The sequence below is a fragment of the Homo sapiens genome, chromosome 7, assembly GCF_000001405.40.
Source record: "Homo sapiens chromosome 7, GRCh38.p14 Primary Assembly".
Lineage (NCBI taxonomy): Eukaryota > Metazoa > Chordata > Mammalia > Primates > Hominidae > Homo > Homo sapiens.
Genome location: NC_000007.14, coordinates 124,384,659 through 124,407,921, shown reverse-complemented (window position 1 = coordinate 124,407,921; position 23,263 = coordinate 124,384,659). Strand labels below are relative to the sequence as shown.

Here is a 23,263-nt window from a genome sequence, read left to right as displayed (position 1 = left end):
TATGTTAAAATTTTAATTAGGCTTTTTTTCTTCTGTATTTTATGAGATCAAAACAGACAGGTGTGCTTATTTAACGTGGGAAATGTCCAGCACTGGAGATTTAAAAAAAAGCTCCTGTTAACAGTGATGGCTCATTTCCCAACTGTCATAAACTCCTAACCAAATTTAAAACATTCCCCTCATTAGCTCAGCCATCTCAGATAGTTAAAAATATATATTTGTTGTTGTTTTTGTTGCTATTGCTTTTGAAAAGCAATAACTATAAGTGGTTTTAATGCACTTGCTACATAAAGTTTCATCATTCAGGTTGAATCTTGTCATTAAAAGAGAGAAAATAAACACATGAATAGTCATTTCCCTTAAATTGCTATTATTTTTTCTCAGAAGAATTTAAGAAAATCAGTTCATTCAATTTGTATTATTATTATTAAGAAAACTAAGTTTCTCTGAGTCTTATGTACTAATTTAAGTTGACAATGTTTGAAAAAAGTGATAATAAATGTGGGGAAAATGGTTTTCTTTTAGAGAACTGTCATGAAAATATAAATGATAAATGAGGTAACAAGGAAACATTAATAAAAGGATAAGAGTTAGAAACACACAATTCTGTGTCAAATTACACTGCACTGGATAAACAAATTCAGTGAATCATGTTTTGACTGACAATGTACTTAACCAAAGGTAAAATGTGAAAACGAACAAAAGAAATATATCTCAAAGAGCTGAAAGGATTGGAGTGACAGTTGGGTAGATGAAATGTACCAGGAAGTGAAGCGATTGTATGTTTGAGCAAGTCATGTGTCAAATCTGCAAGGGAATGAATGTTATTCAGACTCTGAAAGATAAAGATAGAAATGTATTACCAAAAGAACAATACCCGAAATAAAACTGAAAGAGTTATCTGATTATTAAACAATTTAAAGGTGTGAAATTAGCACTGAAAGTCAGCTTTACAGGAAAGGATATTTGATAATGTCCACCAAAATGCATGAGCCCAATCTTATATGAAATTTAAGCAGTTATTGATGTTGAACCTATGTAAATTTGAGCCTAATAAAATGGATGGATGTTTATTTCCCAAAAAAATTTTAGCCTGCCAAAAATTCTGAAAAGATAACTGCAATTTTGCACCCAAAGAGAGTTGTGAACCATTTATTTGAAAACTTATTAAGTAAATAGGTTATGACTTAGTACTCAATGTCACATGTTGAGGTTGGCTGCTTGCAATACATTATAAGGAAGAATATTGCATCGAAACACATGAGAGTAAAATCGTTCTGAAATATCAAGTTTTTTTTATTGCACAAATTCCTCATATATTTGGTATTCCAGGGAAATAAAAGCTACATATTGCTTCATTAGCTGAGTTGAGCCACTCCATTGCTTTGGCAGTTAATAAATATGAACCATGTTCAACACCTTGAGAAGATGAAGACTATGATGAATATTTCATTTGTCTTAGGTTAGAGAGAAGATAATACCTTAAAATGAATGCAGCGATCCCAGCCTGATAATAACTCTGAACTCCATCAGAAAAAAATCCTATCATCATTTAATAATTGACTATATAAATTAGTGAAACTAGTAATCAAGAGATCAGGAAAAACTTGATCACACTGAGGAAAAGTCCACTTTAAATGTCTATCCCAACCAGAAAACTAGTATTTTTGAGCTCAGTTGCCTACTCTTCTGAAAATGTAGCTAGACTATAAACTCTTTCTTCCCAATCTACTATCCAGCAGTTGCCACAGCCAAAATCTTGGGTGTCATCTTGGACTCCTGTCCTCCTTAACATTTGCTAATTTTGGCCTCATCTGTCAACACTATCTCTCTCCTGAATTATTGTAACCACCCCTAACACTGATGTTTCTATCTCCTGCCTTGCCCTTGACCAATGACTGAATCACCCTGCCATGAAGGGGGATGACAGTTATTACACTGTTGTTTTTGCCTAGTACTTTGTCAGTTACTTGTGCTAGGCCATATGTGTTTGAGTAACAAGAATAATGTTATAAACACTATTAAATCCTAATACCTAGCACTTATTATGGATTGGTTCAATATTTTTAAATTAATTAATGAATAGATGGTTGGATGAATGCTTGGAAAAGTTCTATGCCTGTGAGAACAAAATTATAAATGATAGTTAGCAAAAGAAATATTACCTCTAGATATACACTTTTGGTGCATTATGAAGTAAAACTAATAAGGTCTGTAGAAATTATGAATTTCAAAAGATAAATAAATCCAAAGTGTTTTCTATTCTGAAGTTAGAATGTCACCATAGGGAAGGAGAAATAAAATGATTAATGTAGGATCTGAGAAAATGGATGGTGTACCCAAGCAAATAATCACAGATATAGATTGTACTGTCTCCATTTCCAGCTTGACAAGTGAGATGTACCACCTCATCATGGAATCCTTGGCAGGTACTGTTTTTAAAATCCTTCAGGCTTTAAAAAAAAATTTGTCCATCTTAACTGGCAGGCTATAAATAAATGTTGACATGGCATTACTGTGTTTCTGTTCCACTCCACCAATTTTTGGATTTTTTTTCTATATCCTGAGAAAGACAGTATAAAGTGGCAAAAAGAAGATTGGTTTAAAATTTCTTGGGAGCTCAGTTACTGATTGGGATGCTTGGCTGAAAAAGATTAGTGAAAACTGGAGTGACTTAGGACTCTCCTTAATTGCTTTATCAATAAAATTACAGCAGAGATGAGCTAGTCCTAAAACATTATGCTTCTTCGATGTGTTTCTTTAGATTTTATTAAGATTTGTCAAATCCTAGAAGTGAAGATGGTCCTTTATAATCTTCTAATGTCCAGTGAATTTTCAAATACTTTCAATCACATATTCTCTGGGGAGAAATTCAGCAAGAACTTTGTTCAAGGGGCCTGTTGAGTTGACCTCTATATATCTGAAAAGGATGAATGCCTGTGAGAGTACTATTTAAACATTACACCAACTGACAGGAATTACTAATTACTAATCCCATTTGACAGCACCTCAGAATATCATAATCCTTTCAACAATTGTACAATTTCTCAGTCAAACATAAGATTAATTTATTTTAGTTGTTAGATTATATGGTATTCTGATGGTTATAAAAACTAAAGATGTTAAGAAAAGAACAGATACAATTAGAGGATAAAAGAAAAAAGATCAAATAAAGATAGGTAGCTATAATCCCAAAAACGATCATGTATGATCTTGTTTACTGTAGGAGAACACTCACAGAAACTCATTAATAATAATTTTGATAAAATGAATTGGTCAGAGACTGTCTCTATGTCATTAAGTTAAGCAGGGTTTGAGAAGCATCAAATATTCAGTCGTGAGGCCATAGAGCTACTTTGTAGCAAATTGTTTGAATTAATTTTTATGTTTTACGTAGTCATTCAACCTATTTATAAATGCCAATATGAAAAAGAAGAAAAGGTTGATTATTTAATACATAATTCTCAAGAGCAATTTTGCTGTTAGAAGCTTAATATCAACTAATATCTAGACTTAAGAGATTCTTTAGCCACTTTTATAAAGAGTGTTTCGAAAACAAAGGTTCAATTTTCATCATTTTAAGACTTTCAAAGTCTGTGTAGATAGCAATGTAAAAAAACAAAGATCTTATTTATGCTACACATATTTTCAAGGAGCCATGGAGAATCCCCTATGTAGCTAGCTGCATGGATTTCACCAGCTGTTATGTGAAATTTCTTTCTCTAAAAAATGTACAAAGCTGAAAAGTAAATTCCATAGCATATCTTCTGAGCTTAAAGACAGTAGCATTCAAGTCTATTTTGTATAAGTTGTACTAGTGACTATTGGATAGAACATAAAACTACAGGGTGAATACAATGCTAGGGCTTTGGAACTTATCAAGTTATTGTTTGCATGAAGTCAGTAGCACAGAAATTTAAATAGCTCCAAAAGTACATGGGCAGAAATTATAATCGCCAAATAAAGAATTTGGTAAGCCCAAACAACTAAATCCTTCATAGATGATGGAGAAAATGTCTCCATGATCCTTTGAATGATGTGACATATTCCATTTTTTAATCTACCAATCTACATAGATTTATTGGCCATCTGTTATGTGCACAGCACTATGCTGTCTCTTTTTGTTTGTTCAGTGGGTGTTGTATTTTCAGCACATATTCTGAAGAGAGAATATAATTTCATAGCTCCATTTTCTCAGCTGCCAATTAGTCATATATAGGCTCCCATTTGCCATATCCCTGTGAAACAGGAACATCCTGTTTTAATTAAAAAATAATGTTACCAGTTGCTTGCTACCTCATTAACTACCCTCCTTTCAATGGAGATATTCTAATTCTAAATAACCTTTTCCTCACATTGAACAGAAATATGCCCCTTTAATATCATGCTGTCTTTGAACTGATCCCTAGAGCCAGAGATAACATCTAGTTTGCTAAAATATGACAGTTCCTTCCAATATTATGGAATACTTTTGTCACTTCCCTGACCAGTTTAGTATTCTGAACATTAAACAGACATGACTTCCAGATACTTTGAACCTCGAGTCAGCATTACTTTACCTCTTCACCTCCCAAAACACTGCCAAACTCCAGATGTAGCTAGAAAATTAGAGCAATAATTCATATATGGATCATCTGATGGCTGCTTGGGCTAGGACAGTATCAGAAAGGTGGCAAGAAGTATTTGGCTCCAAACATAATATAATAACAGAAGCCATGGGATGCCTTTCATAGGTGGGAGTGTGACGTATGAAAGAGTAAAATAAAGAATGACACTACTATTTTCCTGGATGACTAAGAGAATGGAACAACCACTACTGAGTCAGGAAAGATAATGAGAACTGCACGTTTGAGAATGAAGTAGGAGAATTTAGAAACTCAGTTTTAAAAATATTAACTTTGAGAAGCCTACTCAACATACAATCAGAGATGTTGGGTATGGCATTGAATGTATGTTTGGTATTTAGTGGTGAAAATTTTTTGATAAGACTAGAGAAATAATTTTGAGTCAATCACCCCAATAGATGATATTTTTGAGCCATGAAACTGACAAATATACTGAGTAAAGGGAGTTGACAAATTTTAAGTGTTTAAGTACATACGTAAGTAGTAAATTCATAGCAAAGTACACACATAAACAGTTATCTATGCTTATTGAAAAAAGAGACTTTGGTTATATTGATTCTGACTTGTAACAAATTCATTCATACTTACAGTCCAGATAAGCTCAGCTAACTCTATCATACCCAAATTTACCTTAACCTGCTTCTGAATTCATTTGGAACTGAAAATAATTTAGCTGCTCCTTAAAAAATAGAGCAGAATTTGGTTGTCCTGAGTACTCAAGGTAGTTGGATAGGGAAAACAATGGAATGCTCTTCATCTGGGAACATAATCTAAAAGAAGCCAAAAATAGTTTTGGGATCATAAATTATTGTATATTCAGGCCTTGAGATTTTAACAGTTAATGTTGCCACATTAAAGTGATCTGTTTTCTGTTACTTTACAAATAAGTACATTTAGCTGTTGTTATAAAGAAACAAGACAGGGAATTCGGAATGAAAGGTCAGGATAATAAATCTGCTTACACGAACCCAGTCTATCCCGGTACTATTGATTTTGTCGTCTGTATCTGCTCCAAACATTTCCTGTAACAACTTTAAAGCTCATCAATCAAAGTTACCCTATACATAAAACATGTACAAGCCAAAGTGAATAGGAAATCCTTACTCTTTTCAGAACTTACAGTCCTGCCTACTTAGCAGTATTTTGTAATTGGTGACATATTTCACATATGAGGGCTAGTACACGATCTGGAAAATGACTATTCTGAATCTGGTCATACAATTTTGATCATTGTGTCTTCAGTGCTGAGCTAGCTCTACCCATGAAATAACAGCATGAGCTATTTCCATGGATTCTATTAAAAATTAAATTACTAATGACCTTAAACCAAATCAGACAAGAAAAAACACAAAGATTTTAAGCAGAAAAGATTAATTAATTCAATTATATCACATTGAAAAAGCTTAAAGTAATATCATAAACAAAGCTAAAACTAGGTACTAAAGATATTTGAAAAATGTATAGCAGACAAAAACCAATATTGAGAACATACTTATAGTACTACATTATATATATATGAAAACAGTTCATAGTAAATGTATATAAACCGGAAATTCACATAAGATAATGCATGAATGGTCAATTAACAAATAGTAAGATGCTCAATTTCACTAATAATCAGGGAAATGCAAATTAAGAATGAGATACAATATCTTCCCAATAAAACTGGCAAATGTATTAGTTTAACAATCCCAAGTGTAGACAAAGTATTGGTAAATAGGTATTCTCAAACTTTGCTGGTTGGAGTAGAAATTGGTATTATCTCTTTTCACAGCAATTTAGCAGTAAATTTTCCAACAAGTAAAGTTGGAAATTTCCATACCCTACAACACATCATTTCTCTTCTAAGTATATCAGCCTTGAGAAACTTTTGAACATATGTTCAGGGAGACATATTCGCAAATATTCATCGTGGCATTTTTGGGATTTTAAAAACTAAAAGCGATCTACTTGTTATCAACAGATGAATGGGTAAATAAATTATGATGTATTTATATGATGGAATAGATATATCAAGTATAATGCTAACTGAAAAGAAGTTAGTTCTATGTTGGCAAGTAAAAATAATATAATTTTGATAATGTGATAAAAATGTATCACATTAAATTTTAAAACTCACAAAATAATATTATCTCCTTTCATGGACATATACCTATGTTAAAACATAAAAAATGTAAATACGAATAATAAATAAACTTCATGATAGTGATTGCCTCTAGAAAGGAAATAAGAGAAATGGGTCTGGCAAAATATAGATCAGAGTATTGCTGAGTTTTCTTAGTTAAAATATGATCAGAAGCAAATTCTATGAAATGCTAATATTATTAATTTCAGATGGTAGTATAGGCAAGTTTATCATATTCATACACTTTCTGAGTAGGTTGAAATTGTTCACAATTAAGTCTTTTCTTTACAAAGGAAATTATACTTATGTACTTCCATTAAATGTGAATTTAGGAATTAGTTATATTACACATACATTTATAACTATGTGTGTTTATAACAGTATTTAGCTCTGGTATTATTTATCCGTCTTAAAAAAGTTACAGCAGAACTATCCATTTACTGGTCATGTTTTAAAGCCAGTATCAAAAATTTCCAGCTGATATGCATTTTGCCTAAATTCTACGTGTTTCTGGTAACTTTGACCTGCCTCTGGCCTGCATGTCTTGTTTCGTAGCTCCGCACACTCACAGTACAATCCTTACCCCTCTCTGACATTCACAGCCTTTCTATCCCTCTCTGGGATTCTGGCCTAACCATCAGAACTTTGTCATCACTCCATTTATTCCTGTTTACTTTTTATTCTTTGACAGACCTAAGAGAGAAGGCAGATGCTCCCTGGCTGTCTCTTATAACTAGAAATCCATGCCCACAAACTTCTGCATATCTCATATTTAAACATAGGTCCCATCTCTTCCCAACTCTTAAAATCCATTCTGGACAAGAACCTCTAGAACTCAAAATTGGTTGTCAGCAAATTTCTCCATGTTCTCTACCAATTCTTTGCAAGTTCAATTCACCTTCTTTCTTTAATTGAAATCTGCCCCTCTCCTGGATATATGCATTCTTCTGTAACCTTTTCAAATGGTGGCTTTCTCACCCATGCCTTATTTGGCACGCCCTCCTTGCTTTTAATTTCTATCTCTAGACAGTTACTCCTCCCTCTTCCTGGAAATCCCCAGCATATGTGAAGCTCATGTTGCATAGTCTATTGTTCTTACCCTTCTCATTGCAGGTGTTTAGATGCCAGTGGGTGACTTCCCTCCATACCTTGGAGATTCTAGCTGTTGACTCACTGTCACTCAAAAAATTCTTCTTGTATCTTTCTTGATTAATTTAATATCCTCATGAATGGTTCTTTGAATCCTCTGCCCCCCTCAGTTTTTGGATTTATTACCTCCAATATCCTTGTTCTTCAGCAACTCCTGTACCCCTCCATAGCCTGATTTCCCATTTTCTCACCATCATCTCTTATTCTCTGACTTCAAAATATTTTACTCCTACCTGACTCTAACATCCATTGTTTCAATTCAACTATTTTCCCTATCCCTTACCATCTCCTATCTCTACTTCTCTCAATATCCACATAAGGTATTGGAATCTATCATAAAATTACTCCCCTGCTTATATCATCAAGCTTTTGTCCCTCTCTCTTTTCTTACAGAGTCATGTAGTGCACAACAATGTTTAGGTCAAAGACCAGTGATGACCAATACAATGGTAGCCCATAGATTATAAAAATTTATTTTTACTGTACCTTTTTGATGCTTAGATATATTTAGGTACACAAATACTTACCATTGTGTTACAATTGCCTACAGTATTCATTATAGTAACATGAAGTGGAGGCTGGCAGCCTAGGAGTAATAGACTATACCATATAGCATAGGTGTGTAGTAAGCTATACCATCTAGGTTTGTGTAAGTATACTTTATGATGTTTGCACAATGACCAAATGACCTAATGATACATTTCTCAGAGTATATCCCATTATCAAGCAGCACATGACTGTACATCTCTGGTAAAACTCCAAACTTGGTTAAATCTAACTTTCCACAGATTTTGCACATAGGCTGCTAGACTTTTCTGGGAAAAACAAATAACGAGGTTGTTTCCCACTTTGTATTGATGACCATTCATTTTAAGTGGCTCCATAGTGCTGACAAGGCATTTGTGGTAGGAAGAAAAATGGTCCCTCAAAGATATCTCTATACTTATCCCTGGAACCAGTAAATATATTGCCTTACAGGGCGAAAAGGACTTCACAGATGTGATTAAGGACCTTAAGGTAGGGAGATCATTTTGGATTACCTAGTTGTACTCAATCTAATCCATCAGTTCTTAAAAATGAAAGAGAAAGGAAGAAGAGTGGGTCAGAGAGATGTGATCTGAAAACTTGACCCCACCCACCATTGTTGGCTTTGAAGATGGAGGAAGAGGGCCAGGCACAAAGAAATGCAGGTGACCTCTAGGAGATTGAAAAGACAGGGAAAGGGAATTTACACTAAAACCTTCAGAAAGAAAACCAGCTCTGCTAGCACCTTGATCTTAACCAAGTGAGACCTGTGTTGAACTTCTGGCCTACATAGAACTGTAAGATAATAAATTTGTGTTGTTTTAAGCCACTAAGTTTATGGTAATTTTTAATGACAGTAATAGAAAATGAATACAGTATCATATAAGATTTCCCTTTTCCATTTATTTTCCCACGTTTCTTTTTTTTCTTTTTTTTTTTCCTTCCCTTCGTTCCCTTCCTTCCTTCTTTCTTTCTTTTCTTTCTCTTTCTTTCTTTTCTTTCTTTTTCTCTTTCTTCTCTTTCTTTTTTTGACAGAGTCTTGCTCTGTCACCCAGGCTGGAGTGCAGTGGTGCTATCTTGGCTCACTGCAACCTCCACTTTCCGGGTTCAAGAGATTCTCTTTTCTCCTGCCTGAGCCTCCCGAGTAACTGGGATTACAGGTGCGCACCACCATGCCCAGCTAATTTTTGTATTTTTAGTAGAGATGGGGTTTTGCCATGTTGGCCAAGCTGGTCTTGAACTCCTGGCCTCATGGGATCCGCCCGCCTCGGCCTCCCAAAGTGCTGGGATTACAGACGTGAGTCACTGCACCTGGTCTATTTTCCACACTTCTTTCTTTCTTTTTTTTCTTTTTTTTTTTTTTTTTGAGACGGAGTCTCGCTCTGTCGCGCAGGCTGGAATGCAGTGGCGCGATCTCGGCTCACTGCAAGCTCCGCCTCTTGGGTTCACGCCATTCTCCTGCCTCAGCCTCCCGAGTAGATGCGACTACAGGCGCCCGCCACCACACCCAGCTAATTGTTTGCATTTTTAGTACAGAAGGGGTTTCACTGTGTTAGCCAGGATGGTCTATTTTCCCAGATTTCTAAGCTGTCTTCTTCAAATTTTAATCTTCCATGTACTCACAAAAATTAAAAATTTTAAATTAAAAAAAGAAAAAAACCTTTAATCTTCTGCCTTCATAGTCATGCCAGCAAGGAGTCTACTTCCTGCGTCAGTGAGAATTAAAAAGAAAGAAGAGAGAAGTTCCTCATGCTCCCACAACCACATGTACCAATCTATCTGCCTATGCACCTGAATACCTGACATTCTCTCCTGTTACTATAAATAAATTGTGATATTACTTAAGGATATTACTCCAGCAATTGCCCTCTCCCCTAAAGGAAACAGTTTTTCCTACTAGACCATTAGAAAAGAAAGATATAATTCCAGTTATTTAAAAAAAAAGTCTCCTCATCACACATTCCTTTAAAGTTCACAAGCACTCACTGTGAAAAAAAAGAAGTTCCCTTTCTCATTGGCTCTTCTTCTCAGTTCCTTTGTAAATTCCTTCTGACCGCTCAGACCACTGACTTTAGAATGCCCCAAGTAGGTTTTCTCGGACCTCATTCCTTTTGTAATTGCATTCACTTTCTAGGATCTCATCCTGTCACGTGATTTGATGTATCATCTGTAAGTGACAACTACTCACCGTCAAACTCAATCCCATATCTCTCTCCTAAAGTGAAATTAATAATACTAACTCCTTCCTCAGAATTTCCTTGTGTGTATCTAATTGGCTTCTCAAACATAACTGATCTGGAATTGACTTCAATTTCCCATTTTCCCCAAACCTGCTCCTTCCTCAGCCTTACTTATTTTACAAATGGCAACTTCGTTTCTCCGTTGTTCATACCAAATAACTTGGATTATCCTTGACTTCTTTCTTTCATATGCAATCCATTAGCAAATGCTGTCAGCTGGCTCTAGCTCTTTCTTCTAAATGTATCTAAAACCTGATTCCTTCTCACTCACCCTTCCATTCTCCCTTATTCATTCAACCTCCATTTAACTCCTAGATTATTGCAACGATCTTGCAATTAATCTCACTTTTTCTGCCTTATCCATCTAAAGTCAGCTGTTTCTACAACCAACACATTTCACTTTTAAAACCTAAATCTGATAAGATTCCTCTGCTCATAAACCTTCAGTAGCCTATCTCACTCCCAGCAAAAGCTAAAATTCTTACAATAACATACAGGGTTTAGCGTAATCTTCCCCTACATTACCGTTCTCACCTCCTATGATTCTTCCTCTGGTTCAGTTGGTCTATATACACTGGGCTCCTTGCTGTCTTTCATACACCTAAGCATTCTCTCACCTTGTGGCCTCTGCATTTGTTCTCCTCACCTTCTGAAACTTTTCTCCTGACATCAGCATGGCTCACTCCCTTATTTACTTCAGGTTCCCTGTTTACCTACATAAAATAACCACTCTTCTCCCCACCTACCAGCCCTCCCCATTTCCTGTATCCTGCTTTATACTTCTCCATAGGACTAATCATTATCTGACAAACTAGATATTCACTTGTCTGTTTAATTATGGTTTGCCTCCAACACAAGGCAATATGCTCTTTGAGAGAAGAGACTTTTTCTCTTTTGATTATTCCTATATTCTTAGCATTCAGAAAAGTGCTTGGAAAATAGCAGCGCTCAATAATTTTTTGAATGAATGAATAAGTAATATTCCCTTTCAACGGTGCATATTCTCTTTGCAAAATGTATTAACAATTATTGTGTATTCAGGAACATTGACAACACCAAGAGGATGTCTATTTCTCAAGTAATGGCTTTCAAAATTTGGGAGTAGGTGGTGAGAAAGGGTGTGATACCATCCTTACACTGAAACTTCTATTCAGCTTGTATATATTCACAAACAACCAAAAACTATCAAAATCTCTTTGAGCCTTCCTCTTTGAATATTGAGAAAAGTCTTAGACTTGCTATTAATATTTCACAAGCCAGATGGCATTAGCAAAATGATGGTTGCTCTGGACCAAATTGTGTCTCCCCCAAAACTCAGATGTTGAAGCCTTAACCCTCAATATGACGGTATTTGGATGTGGGCCCTTTGGGAGATAATTAAGGTTGAATGAGGTAATGAGAATAGGGCTGTCATGATAGGATTAGTGGCTTATGAAGAAAAAGAAGGAGTAGAAGGAAGAATTGGAGTAGGAGAAGATATTTCTCTGCCTTGCAAGGACACGGCAAAAAGGCAGAAATATATAAGCCAGAAAAGAGAGGCAGGAACAGAATTGGCCAGCACCTTGATCTTGGACTTCCCAACCTCCAGAACTGTGAGAAATAAAGGTCTGTTATTTAAGCCACCCAGTCTATGGTATTAACATTTTGTTACAGCAACCCAAGCAGCCTAATACAATGATCATGGCTAACTACTGGGTTGTTAAAGGGTTGCCATGTAACAATAGTTTAAAGACAGCCAGGCAGAAAAACATAGTTTTAATCTTGTCCTTACCATATCTTAATAATTCATAGATTGAGTAATTCTGGATTAGATTATTATACATTTGGATATTCATTGTACACTTTATATATTTTATTATCAGCTGAATAAAAGTGCTTGTCCTAACCTTAGGCATTATTTTGCATAAGCCTCTAGATACATATTCACACAGAAGGACTAGATGCAGAGACTATAGTATTGACTATTTCTATTTTGCTGTTCCGAAATAAGCAAAATGCCATTCATTGATTTTACTGAAAATTTCTTGGTCCCAGATGTCATTAATCTTGTACTTCCTAATACTTTCTCCTAAGCTAATGCTGGTTTTCACTGAATTAGTATTGTATAAATATCTGTTGAATAATGGACAAATGAATGGATCACATGAAAACAAAAGATTTACTTTTTGTAACTATTTTTTAAAATATAATACACATCTTTTTATCATTATATAATCTCTGTTTCCATAATGTAAAATACATAATTAGTGGTTTTTTTTTAAAAAATCTCATCTAGTTCATTAAAGGGAAATATTTCCTGTTCCAGTAATTTTTTAATGTCATTCACTCACAAAAGCTCCCACTGGGATTTGGGTAACATACCATAATTTAGAATAAAATAGGACAGAACAAAATGAAAGCCTTCTTTGTAAAATTTGCTTTTTACTTTGTAAAAATTGCTTTGTTTAACCTTCTGATGAATCACAAATATTAATCTCATGCTAGAGAAGAAGAAATTGAGGCTTTGAGGAAGTAACTTGCCCCAAATGGTAAGAAAGAGTATCCAAATTAAGGATCATCTGACTTCATTTTCCTTTCACAACAGCAAGCTGCCTCCCAGGCCTTACTTCTCTCCTTTTCTGACATAGATACAAATATAGATACGTATGAAGTCTCTTCCAGAATTTTCCTCAGATAGGGAGGAGAGGAAAGTTATGCTCAAACATATCTTCTCCTGGAAATATCTCTAATTTAATCCACATGATCTTATTTTAGTTTCCATTTAAAATAAGCTTCACTATTTCTGAGCTGAATTTTCACTCTATTCCACAATATTGTCACATATCCATCCATGTTTTACTTGGTTCCAAGTTCCTCATTGACGTGGTCTCCTCACATTTTAAACTTTAAAACACAATATATATTCCATATATGTGGAATATATGTGATATATATTATACAATATATGTTAATTACATATATATGTAATTATTTCTTTCTGATTAAAAGAAAACATGTTCCTTAAAGATAAAGAAAAGCACAATCAGAAAAACTAAATTCACTTGTCATCCAACTACCCAGAAATAAACAGTATCAACATTTTGGTGTTTTCAGTCTCATATTCTATACATATATTTGCACATTAATATACACTTTTATTTCCAAAATTGTTTCATAGTTTCATACTCTATGTATTTTATATCTGTCTCTATATTTGATTATGTCATGCTATTAAATTCATCTTGTCATCTTATTTAATGGTCCATCTGTACGAATGAAGGAGATAAATCTGGTGTCTCTATGCATCTGTGTTTTTATGTGTCTGTGAATATGCATGTGTGTATATATGTGTGTATGCATGTGTGCATATGTTTGTGTATGTGCAGCAGTGTGCTGGAACTGGCTTGTGCCAGTGAGAACTGTGTGAGAACTACTTGTGAGTATTTTTTTCCTTAATTCACTTTCAATTAAGTCATGTGGGTAGTTTGAAAACCACGGTGGGAAATAGCCACAACTGGAAAATATGCAGTTGCTATAAATCAGGGGTTTTAAGTTCCTTAAATTCCAGAGAATCACCTTTTCAGCACACAGCTAGGTTTGAGTGTGAAGGGTATGCTAACATAATAAAATAAAAGAAGATTCCTATACTTTCATGTTCTGGAAACGTATACATGGCACATACATTATCTATTGCCTGATACTGAGAAACAGGACCTCTTATACATTGCTGATGGTAATGTAAAATGGTACACCCACTCTAAAAAACAATATAACACTTTTAAAGTAAACATTCACTTAACATTTGACTCGGCAATTGTACCCTTGGGATTTTTTTTCCAGAGAAATGGAGACATATTTCTGTATAAAAACTTATATATAAATGTGAGCGTCAGCTTTAGTCATAATAGCTTCAAACTGTAAACAACTGTAATATCCTAGTAAGTGGTTAAGGAACCTGTAGTGCATCCATATCATGGACTACTACTCCGCAATAAGAAGGAATGAGTTATTGTTGCACACAATAACTTGGCTGAATTTCAAGAGAATTATTCTGAGTGAAAATAGTCCCAAAAGTTCACTTAATTTTGATTCTCATTATATGGCATTCTTGAAATAACAGGGTTGTAGAGATGGAGAACAGATTAATGGTTGTGAGGGGTTAGGGATGAGCTAGAGAAAGAGGTAAGAATGAGTATAAAGAGACAGCATGAAGGAGCCTCTGGTGATGGAATGATTCTGGATTTTCTCTATGGTAGTGGTAACATGGGTCTACACATGCAAGAAAATTGCATAGAACAAACTAATACATGTAAAACTGGTTAAATTTTAACAAGATATGTGGAATGTATCAACATCATTTTCCTAGTAGTTATATAAGATGTTACTATAAGGGAAACTGAGTCAAGAGTAAATAGGACCATCCTGTATATCTTTTTTATTATTTGTTGTAGAACTATAATTTTTCAAAATAAAGAGTTTTTTTAAAAAGGAAACCTGCTGTATTTACAGAGATTTTGTATGCATTTGTTTGCTAATAGGGTTATTTTGCTAAGATTGCCATAAGAAAATACCATAGTCTTGGCAGCTTAAGCAACAGAATTTTATTTTCTCGCAGCTTTGGAGACTGGAATTCCAAGATCAAGGTGCTAGTACGTTTGATTTCTTCTGAGGCTTCTCTTCTTGGCTTGCAGCTAGTCACCTTCTTGTTGTGTCTTCATATGATCTTCTTCTGTGTGCTTCTGGTGTCTTTCCGAGCACCCAGATTTTCCCCTGTATATGAGAACACCATTAAAATTAAATTAGGGCCCACCTTCATTGCCTCATTTTCACTTAATTGCCTCTTTAAAGGCCCTGTTCCCAGTAATATCACATTCTGAAGTACTGAAGGTTAGTGTTTCAGCACGTTAACTTTGGGGAGAAGAGACACAGTTTGGCCCACACTACTAAAAAACCATAGAGAAATAGATTCCCTATTTCTCACAATAGATTCACAAAAGATGAATGTCTTATATTGTCATCAAATGTCAGTTTGAATCTGGAGCAACACTGGAGGCTGGGCCTGGAGATTAAGCCATTTATGGTCAGTGGTTTTTCTCTTTTTTCTTTTTTTTTTCTTTTTTGCTTGTGTGTTGCTCAGAAGAAAAATCCTAAAGTTACCTCCTTAAAAAATAATTCATATTGATGCTATTTTTCTGTTCTACTCAATGAGACAACTAACCCAAGATTATAGGTGAAAGTCTGGCCAGTGTTGGGGTGATGCCTTTCTTGTAGCCATCCACTCTTATCAGGAAAATTGCCCACTCACCCAAGAATTCATGGTTTTCTGGATAATCTCATGGAAGTGTATGGGAGCCCACAACCCAGATGTTTGATGCTCACTGTCTCCTTTGTTACTATTGCAGATTCCAGTGAGAAACCACTTTCATGTACGTGTTCCTTCTTTGAGTTATTAAAACATCATTTTATTTTTCTTTTCAACAGTATGCTTTGTCTTACATGTCATGTTGAAAGAGGAAAAATGGATGCTCCCTGATATTTTTAAGTAAATAAAATTTGTGGCCTGGCTTTAGCTTGCATCTCTTTCAGCTGCGTTTTGTTAAAATTCTCTTCTCAGGAATTGATGGGCACAATCTCAGTTCAGACCTCTTTCATTTGAGAATGCATCATTTGTTTGCCTTCAGCATTTGTTCTTAGAACTGTTTCTCCAAGAATGACATGGACGCAGTTAGATCCCCATAATCCTAATCCTAATCCCACGATTTCTACACACTTGCTTTCCAGGCAACACACATACATATGTGTGTGTGTGTATGTGTCTGTGTGAGTACATATGTATATATGTACATATATCTACAAAAGTAAGAAAGGGGAAAAGGCAAACATTATTTTGACCACCTTACAGATCTGTACTTTATCTCCCAACATCTAAAATTGTATATTTATCAGAATATCTGTAGCCAAAAGATATTCCTTGAAATATCAGGTCATGCAGTTTCCTCAAAGCTTCATAGCTCTCCATTCAGCAAACATGTTGAGTGTTTACTGTATGTCTGTCATTTTCTTGGTATGGACAGATGCTGACCATAAGAATAAAAACATTTTTGACATCCTTTGTCCAAAATATAGCTGGTGAATCTTGTATTCAATGACATGGTTTATAGTTAGAAAAGATAATTGTTAAGCATTTAAGAAACAGCTTAATTGAAAAATTATTTTGGCTTATCTTCACCTAGTTTTAATATCAGTGAAAGACATCTCTCTTTTTCTGTGCACTGTGATTTACATATACACATGCGCACATAATATGGTATTTATCTTGCTTCTTCTGTGAAGAAATGTAAACAACACCATTCTCAGCTTAAGTTTTCCAGCCATTTAACTTGATGGTCATTCCATGTTGAAGAAACACCAAGCATGCCAAATTTAATGTTTTGACAGAAATACAACATTTGCCATTTGTTGGTGTGATCATCTATCTGAAATTTGAAGTATCTTTTCTACATATAAAGAAATTATGTAAGCATCATCAACATTATAGTAGGGATACATACATACATAAATGGCCTGTGATCTAGAACATACAGTGTTCCATTCTTACTCCATTTCTGATTCTCTGAAAACCTGCATTTGTTGTGGCTTATAACTATTGCAACAAATTAAAACCCACACTAAACAATAGATTCACAAGAGATGAATGTCTTATATTGTCATCAAATGTTAGTTTGAATCTGGAGCAACACTAGAGGCTGTGCCTGGAGATTAAGCCATTTGTGCTCAGTGATTCATTGTTCTTGTCTAAGAAACAATGACATATTGAAAAATGAACTGATTCTCTCTCTCTCTGTTTCTTTGATTCGTTGTACTAGCATTTTGTCTCTCCTTCATATTTAATTAGTTACATTGCAAGAAGCAGAGAATGAACTTGATTCTTCTAGCAATTTTGTTCTATTTGTCAGTCTACTTAGTGTGTATTTAAAAGATATAGATTCCAGTATAAGAATCATCTCAAAACCATTTAGCATTTAATCAGTTTATCAAATACATATCAAATACTTTTTCTAACTGCAAAATATGTACAGATCGGGCCAAACTGACTCTGGAAAAAGGAAATAGAAACAAATTATTTTTTAATAAATGAAAAGATAAAGAATTTGTGTTTTAGAATATTTCATACAGTATTTTTCCATAACATTATACTTAAGAATTTAAAAAATAATGTTGATGTTTTTAATAAATACTTTAAAAAGAACAATTTAAAAGATAATTAAATCTCTTCACAAAAAAATGTATCGTTTAGAAGTGTCTTTAAGACCACAACTTAATGAAAAATAATATAGCAATAATATTTTATATTCACTAGCACTTGTCAAATTTTAAAACATATTTATAATCATTTCCATTCAAGTAGAAGACAGTCATTGCACCCTACAATTTTCAAAAAAATTAAGTGTGTGGTTTCTCAACATCATATGCAATTTAAATTCAACCTAATGACATCAACCAGAAAAAAAAAAAATGTCCGTCTGATTTTCCTTCATATCTTCTTCACTATTGAGCAAGAACCATCATATTCTTTAACACTGGCAATATTTCAGACTCACTGAAGTAGAAAAAACTAAAAGCAAAGTTACTAATAACCCATAAATGCATCGGTTAATACTGGTTTATCGATCCTTATTTTAAAGAGAACCCTAAAATTCTGAAAGGACATTCCTTACCTACCATTTCACCTTTAGGTCCTAAACTCCAAACATCACTGCTACCAAGTCAGATGGAATAACTGGATTTAGATGGTAGTTTCTTTTTTCTGGAATATGGATTTAAAATACTGTATTAGAGATTATTTTAAGGGTAACGTCATAATGCTATATGTTGCTTAAATGTTTGTGTGTTTTATTTAGGAAGTTTACTGTTGAAATGAATACAGTATATGTAGTTCACACTGGAACCAACCAAATGCATTAACACAATGCATTATACCATAAAATCCTTGTGTTTTATTAAATATACACTTGAGCACATATTTCACATATTGTCAGTGTAGCCCAAATGTCTGCCAGTTGGTGCAGTTGCTAAATGTAAAGCTTATCTATTTGATCTCTAAATTTGTTTAATAATTAAAGATTATGTTTTGTTCATTTTATAACAAGGATAGACTATGAAATAAATTGTTTGTAATTTTGTAAAACCTAAACATCATTGCTTATAAAAATAATTCACTCTTGACTAGGTGATCCTAGTTTGTACTCTTCTAATATATCAGCAATTGTTTTATTAATGACTCACGTTTAGAGTCCTTACAGAGCATTTAACTTAGCTTTCTTGAACTGGGGTTAAAAATCAACCATCCCTTGCTATTTATAAATTCCACTTGTGAGAGGAGACACATCCAGGAAGTCTGAGGAGTGGCCAAGGACATTAAATATCATCACATATATGCTTAGTGTTGGTATATATTAGACAGTGAATATGTATTAGTTCTCCTTCATTCTTGGACCTAAGTGTTTACTGGTGAAAACATCACAACACTCTCCTAAGTTTAATTTATATCCGCACCATTTTACAGACTAGGATACAAACAACCAATTTTGGAAGTCGATATAAACGCTAGATACAGAAAAATAAAAACCTCGCGTTTCTAGCTCTCCAAGTGTTATCTTGCCATCAGGTAGCCTTAGGTTTTTTGGTTTTGATTTGTGTACTTTTGTGTCTTCACATGTGAAGCAAGTTATTTGTTGAACTTCTACTTACAAGATAATTTTGATGAAAGGATTTATTTAATCAATGGTCTTATAATCCACAAAGAACAAGGCGAAGCTGGACATTCAGGTTCAGGATGCTGGTATTATTTCATCTCCCTTCTCCCTTCATCACACATGGGTGCATACACAATAGAATGAATTAACCAATATTCCCAGGTAATAATTTTAGGTATTTTCTGATCAAATGTAGTATACACATATTCAATTCTGATTACTAAATATCTTCCTTATAAAACCATTAACTTTTTCTTGTATGTAAACAATAGTGAACAAAAGTAAACTTTCTCAGGGGAATTATTGTAATGATTTGTAACTAGTTATGTATCTAAGTATAATCTTGGGCATAATTTTTACTGATCACAAAGTAAAACATGTTTTTTTATTAAAAGACATTAGTTTTAAGAGAAGTTTTAGGTTCACAGCAAAATTAAGAGGAAGACATAGAGATTTCCCACATATTGCCTACCCCACATATGCGCAGCCTCCCCTCTTAACAACAACCCCCATTAAGAGTGGTATGTAGGAGACTCCATCTCAAAAAAAAAAAAAAAAAAGAGTGGTATATTTGTTACAATCAACAAACCTACACTGATATTTCATAATCACCTGAAGTCCATAGTTTACATAGGGCTGACTATTGATCTTGTACCGTTCATGGGTTTGGGCAAATGTATAATGACATGTATCCAGCAATACAGTATCTTATAAAACAGTTTCCTTGCCCTGGAACTCCACTGTGTTTCATCTATTTATCGCTTCCTCCTCCCATACCCTGGCAACCACTGCTTCCCAAGGCTATAAACCTCCCTGTGCAGTGGATCCCTCTGTGTGGATGTAAGTTTTCAACTCCTTTGGGTAAATACAAAGGAGTTCAATTGCTGGGTTATATAACATGATTTTTTTTAAACCAAATAGTCTATGGTTTCAGAAATTTTCTGTTTCATAAAAAAATTTGGTTCAGAAAAATAATACTGTATTTTATGTATATACCTGTTTTAAGAACTGATATCACAAATATGCATCATATGTGATTTAATGTCCTGGTTTGTGACGGTCTTTAATTAGTTAACTGATTTTTAAATAAATTTGAAAGCCCTTTTTGATAGTTATGGAATTCAATAATGCTTACACTTTAATAAAAACAGAATTAAATCTCATTTTAAATAGAATGACAAACCCCAATAGCTTAATGAAAACTTGGATGCAAGTTTTAGCCTTCTGGTGGAATTCTGCCAGCAAAGCTTTCACTAGATAACAATCACTGTAATTATAATAGCAACTGACAATGGCTTAAACATGACCCACACACATCCTTCTAAAATCACAAAGCTCTTAAACGATAACATGGTCAATGACAGGGTTACGGGCACGATTGTAAAAAGCCAGGGCGACAAGAAAGGGAAAAGCAGGTGGCTCATACAAAGAAGACCACCAAACCTGCTGGGATAATTTAGATAATTAATTTTGTCCTTGAACTGAAAACATTCTTTTACATCTGATGTATTTTCCACTCTTTTTAATTTTACTTATAATTTTAGAAAACTTGAGTGATATAACTGATTTGAAATGACGCATAAGTGGTGTTTTGATGTGGCCCCTTCCTTTATATTCCTTCAGTTTATATTATTAAAAACTAGCAATCAACTGAAATATTTTAAAAGAAATTTTACAATTCCAGTAGTAGATGCTCTATTAAACTAATGTATAGATGTAGTTATTTTTCTTACTAAATTTAAATCATATTCACTATATATATACATGTGTACACATGTATATAGTATGTGTATATGTGTGCATGGCATGTATCATACACATGTATACACTCATACATGTGTATATAGTATGTGTATATGTGCGCATGACATGTATCTTACACATGTATACACTCATGCATGTACGTAAATACATATACATGTATACACATATACATAACATAAATACATATATATGTATTGAGTGTAACCAAACATCTATGTTGCTTGGGAATTTGAATAAGTATGGAGAGTGAATAATTGGACATAAAAAATGTAAATTAATGGAAACACAAATGTTGACTACACAAAGTCCAAGGTAAGAATTTCAGCAGGTGAGCTGTTTAGGTGTTTGTAAGTTGTCCAAGACGACAAATTGAATCATTGGTGTTTCTGGGAGGAAACATAGCTTTTTGCTGTGGTATAGAATAATGTTCTGAATTTGTCATTTAATAATCAGATAATACTTGCTAAAAATCCTATGTTCAAATATTTCTATAAAATAGGAAACTAGAGTGAAAAAGTCAAGAATGGAAGCAATGCCCACAGTTAAGCAGTTAAATCACTCAAAAGGTCTAGTTAGTATGATCAAGACCCTGCTTTTTTAGTATGTCTTATTAAAATAAATGAAAAACATCAAAGTAAAGGAAAAATCAACTTTATACAAAGGAGAAATAATTGAATTCTACCTACTCTTTAGACCTTAGTAATTGAAACATTGCTTCACTTTCTAACTTGGATAACCTCATTAACTCTTTTCTACCTTATGTCTTTTCATGTTCCATGAGCTCTTCGTCAAATACAATCCTATCTTTTCTGGCATTCTATAGTTTTCAACATAATTTTTAAATCGCCACATAAAAATGCCTTCCCAATTAATTTTGCCCCATTCTGATGTCTCACTTAATTCAGCATTTACATTCCATGTTACTTTACATATACTAATGTGTTTTTAAATTGTTCTTAATTAGAAAATCTACTAAATCACTAAAGAATTATTTTTTATTATTTACTATTTAAAACACACATGCTTATTAATAATTTGTATCAGTTTGTTTTCACGCTGCTGATAAAAACATACCTGAAACTGGGAACAAAAAGTTTAATTGGACTTACAGTTCCACATGGCTGGGGGCCTCAGAATCATGGCAGGAGGTGAAAGGCAATTCTTACATGGCGACAGCAAGGGAAAATGAGGAAGAAGCAAAAGCAGAAACCCCTGATAAACCGATCAGATCTCGTAAGACTTATTCACTATAACGAGAATAGCACAGGAAAGACTGGCCCCCATGATTCAATTACCTCCCCCGGGTCCCTCCCACAACATGTGGGAATTCTGGGAGATACAACTATAGTTGAGATTTGGGTGAGACGCAGTCAAAGCATATCATAATTATTTAGTATTATAAAACAAAGGCATTGCATCTAAAAATGAGTTAATTTTTCTTTCTGCTAGAAATGTTAGAATAAATTCTATCTTAACAGCGACACAATTTTGATGATCAGCTTTTCTAGAATTTAAGGATAATTATTTCTAACATAGAAGTACTTCTTGAAAGAACAGAACCAATTTTGAAAACTAGGTTTAAACATACTAAACTTGGCGGTTAAATTTTTTTTCTGGAAACATCTCAAACTGCTTCTATTAGTATCAATATGTTTATATATGTTTGCAAGTAAAGCCAAAGTTAGACCTTATAGTAGTCTTCTCAACTAAGATGTCAAGAACATCATTAGCTAAAAGATAGTCTGTTCAATAAATGATGCTGGGAAAGCTGGATATTTATATGCAGAAGAATGAGACTAGACCACGATCTCTCACCATACACAAAAATCAAATCAAAATGGATTAAAGACCTAAATCTAAGACCTCAAACTATAAAATTACTACAAGAAAACATTGAGAAAATTCTCCAGGACACTGGAGTGGGCAAATATTTCTACTACTGCAATTTCTTTTGGCATCTTTGTCATGAAATCTTTGCTTGTGCCTATGTCCTGAATGGTATTGCCTAGGTTGTCTTCCAGGGTCTTTACAGTTTTGGGTTTTACATTTAAGTCTTTAATCCATCTTGAGTTGATTTTTGTATATAGTGTAAGGAAGCGG

At 34.0% G+C, this 23,263-nt stretch overlaps 1 long non-coding RNA gene across 1 annotated transcript; it reads right to left on the bottom strand.

Moving 5' to 3' along the window:
- Positions 15,222–22,324, bottom strand: LOC102724577 (uncharacterized). The gene is made up of 4 exons (XR_927926.3): positions 22,273–22,324; positions 19,395–19,508; positions 18,366–18,450; positions 15,222–15,413 (listed from the first exon to the last, which is right to left on the bottom strand). It is a non-coding gene; the product is annotated as an uncharacterized LOC102724577 (long non-coding RNA).
- Between the last annotated feature and the right edge of the window lie 939 nt (positions 22,325–23,263).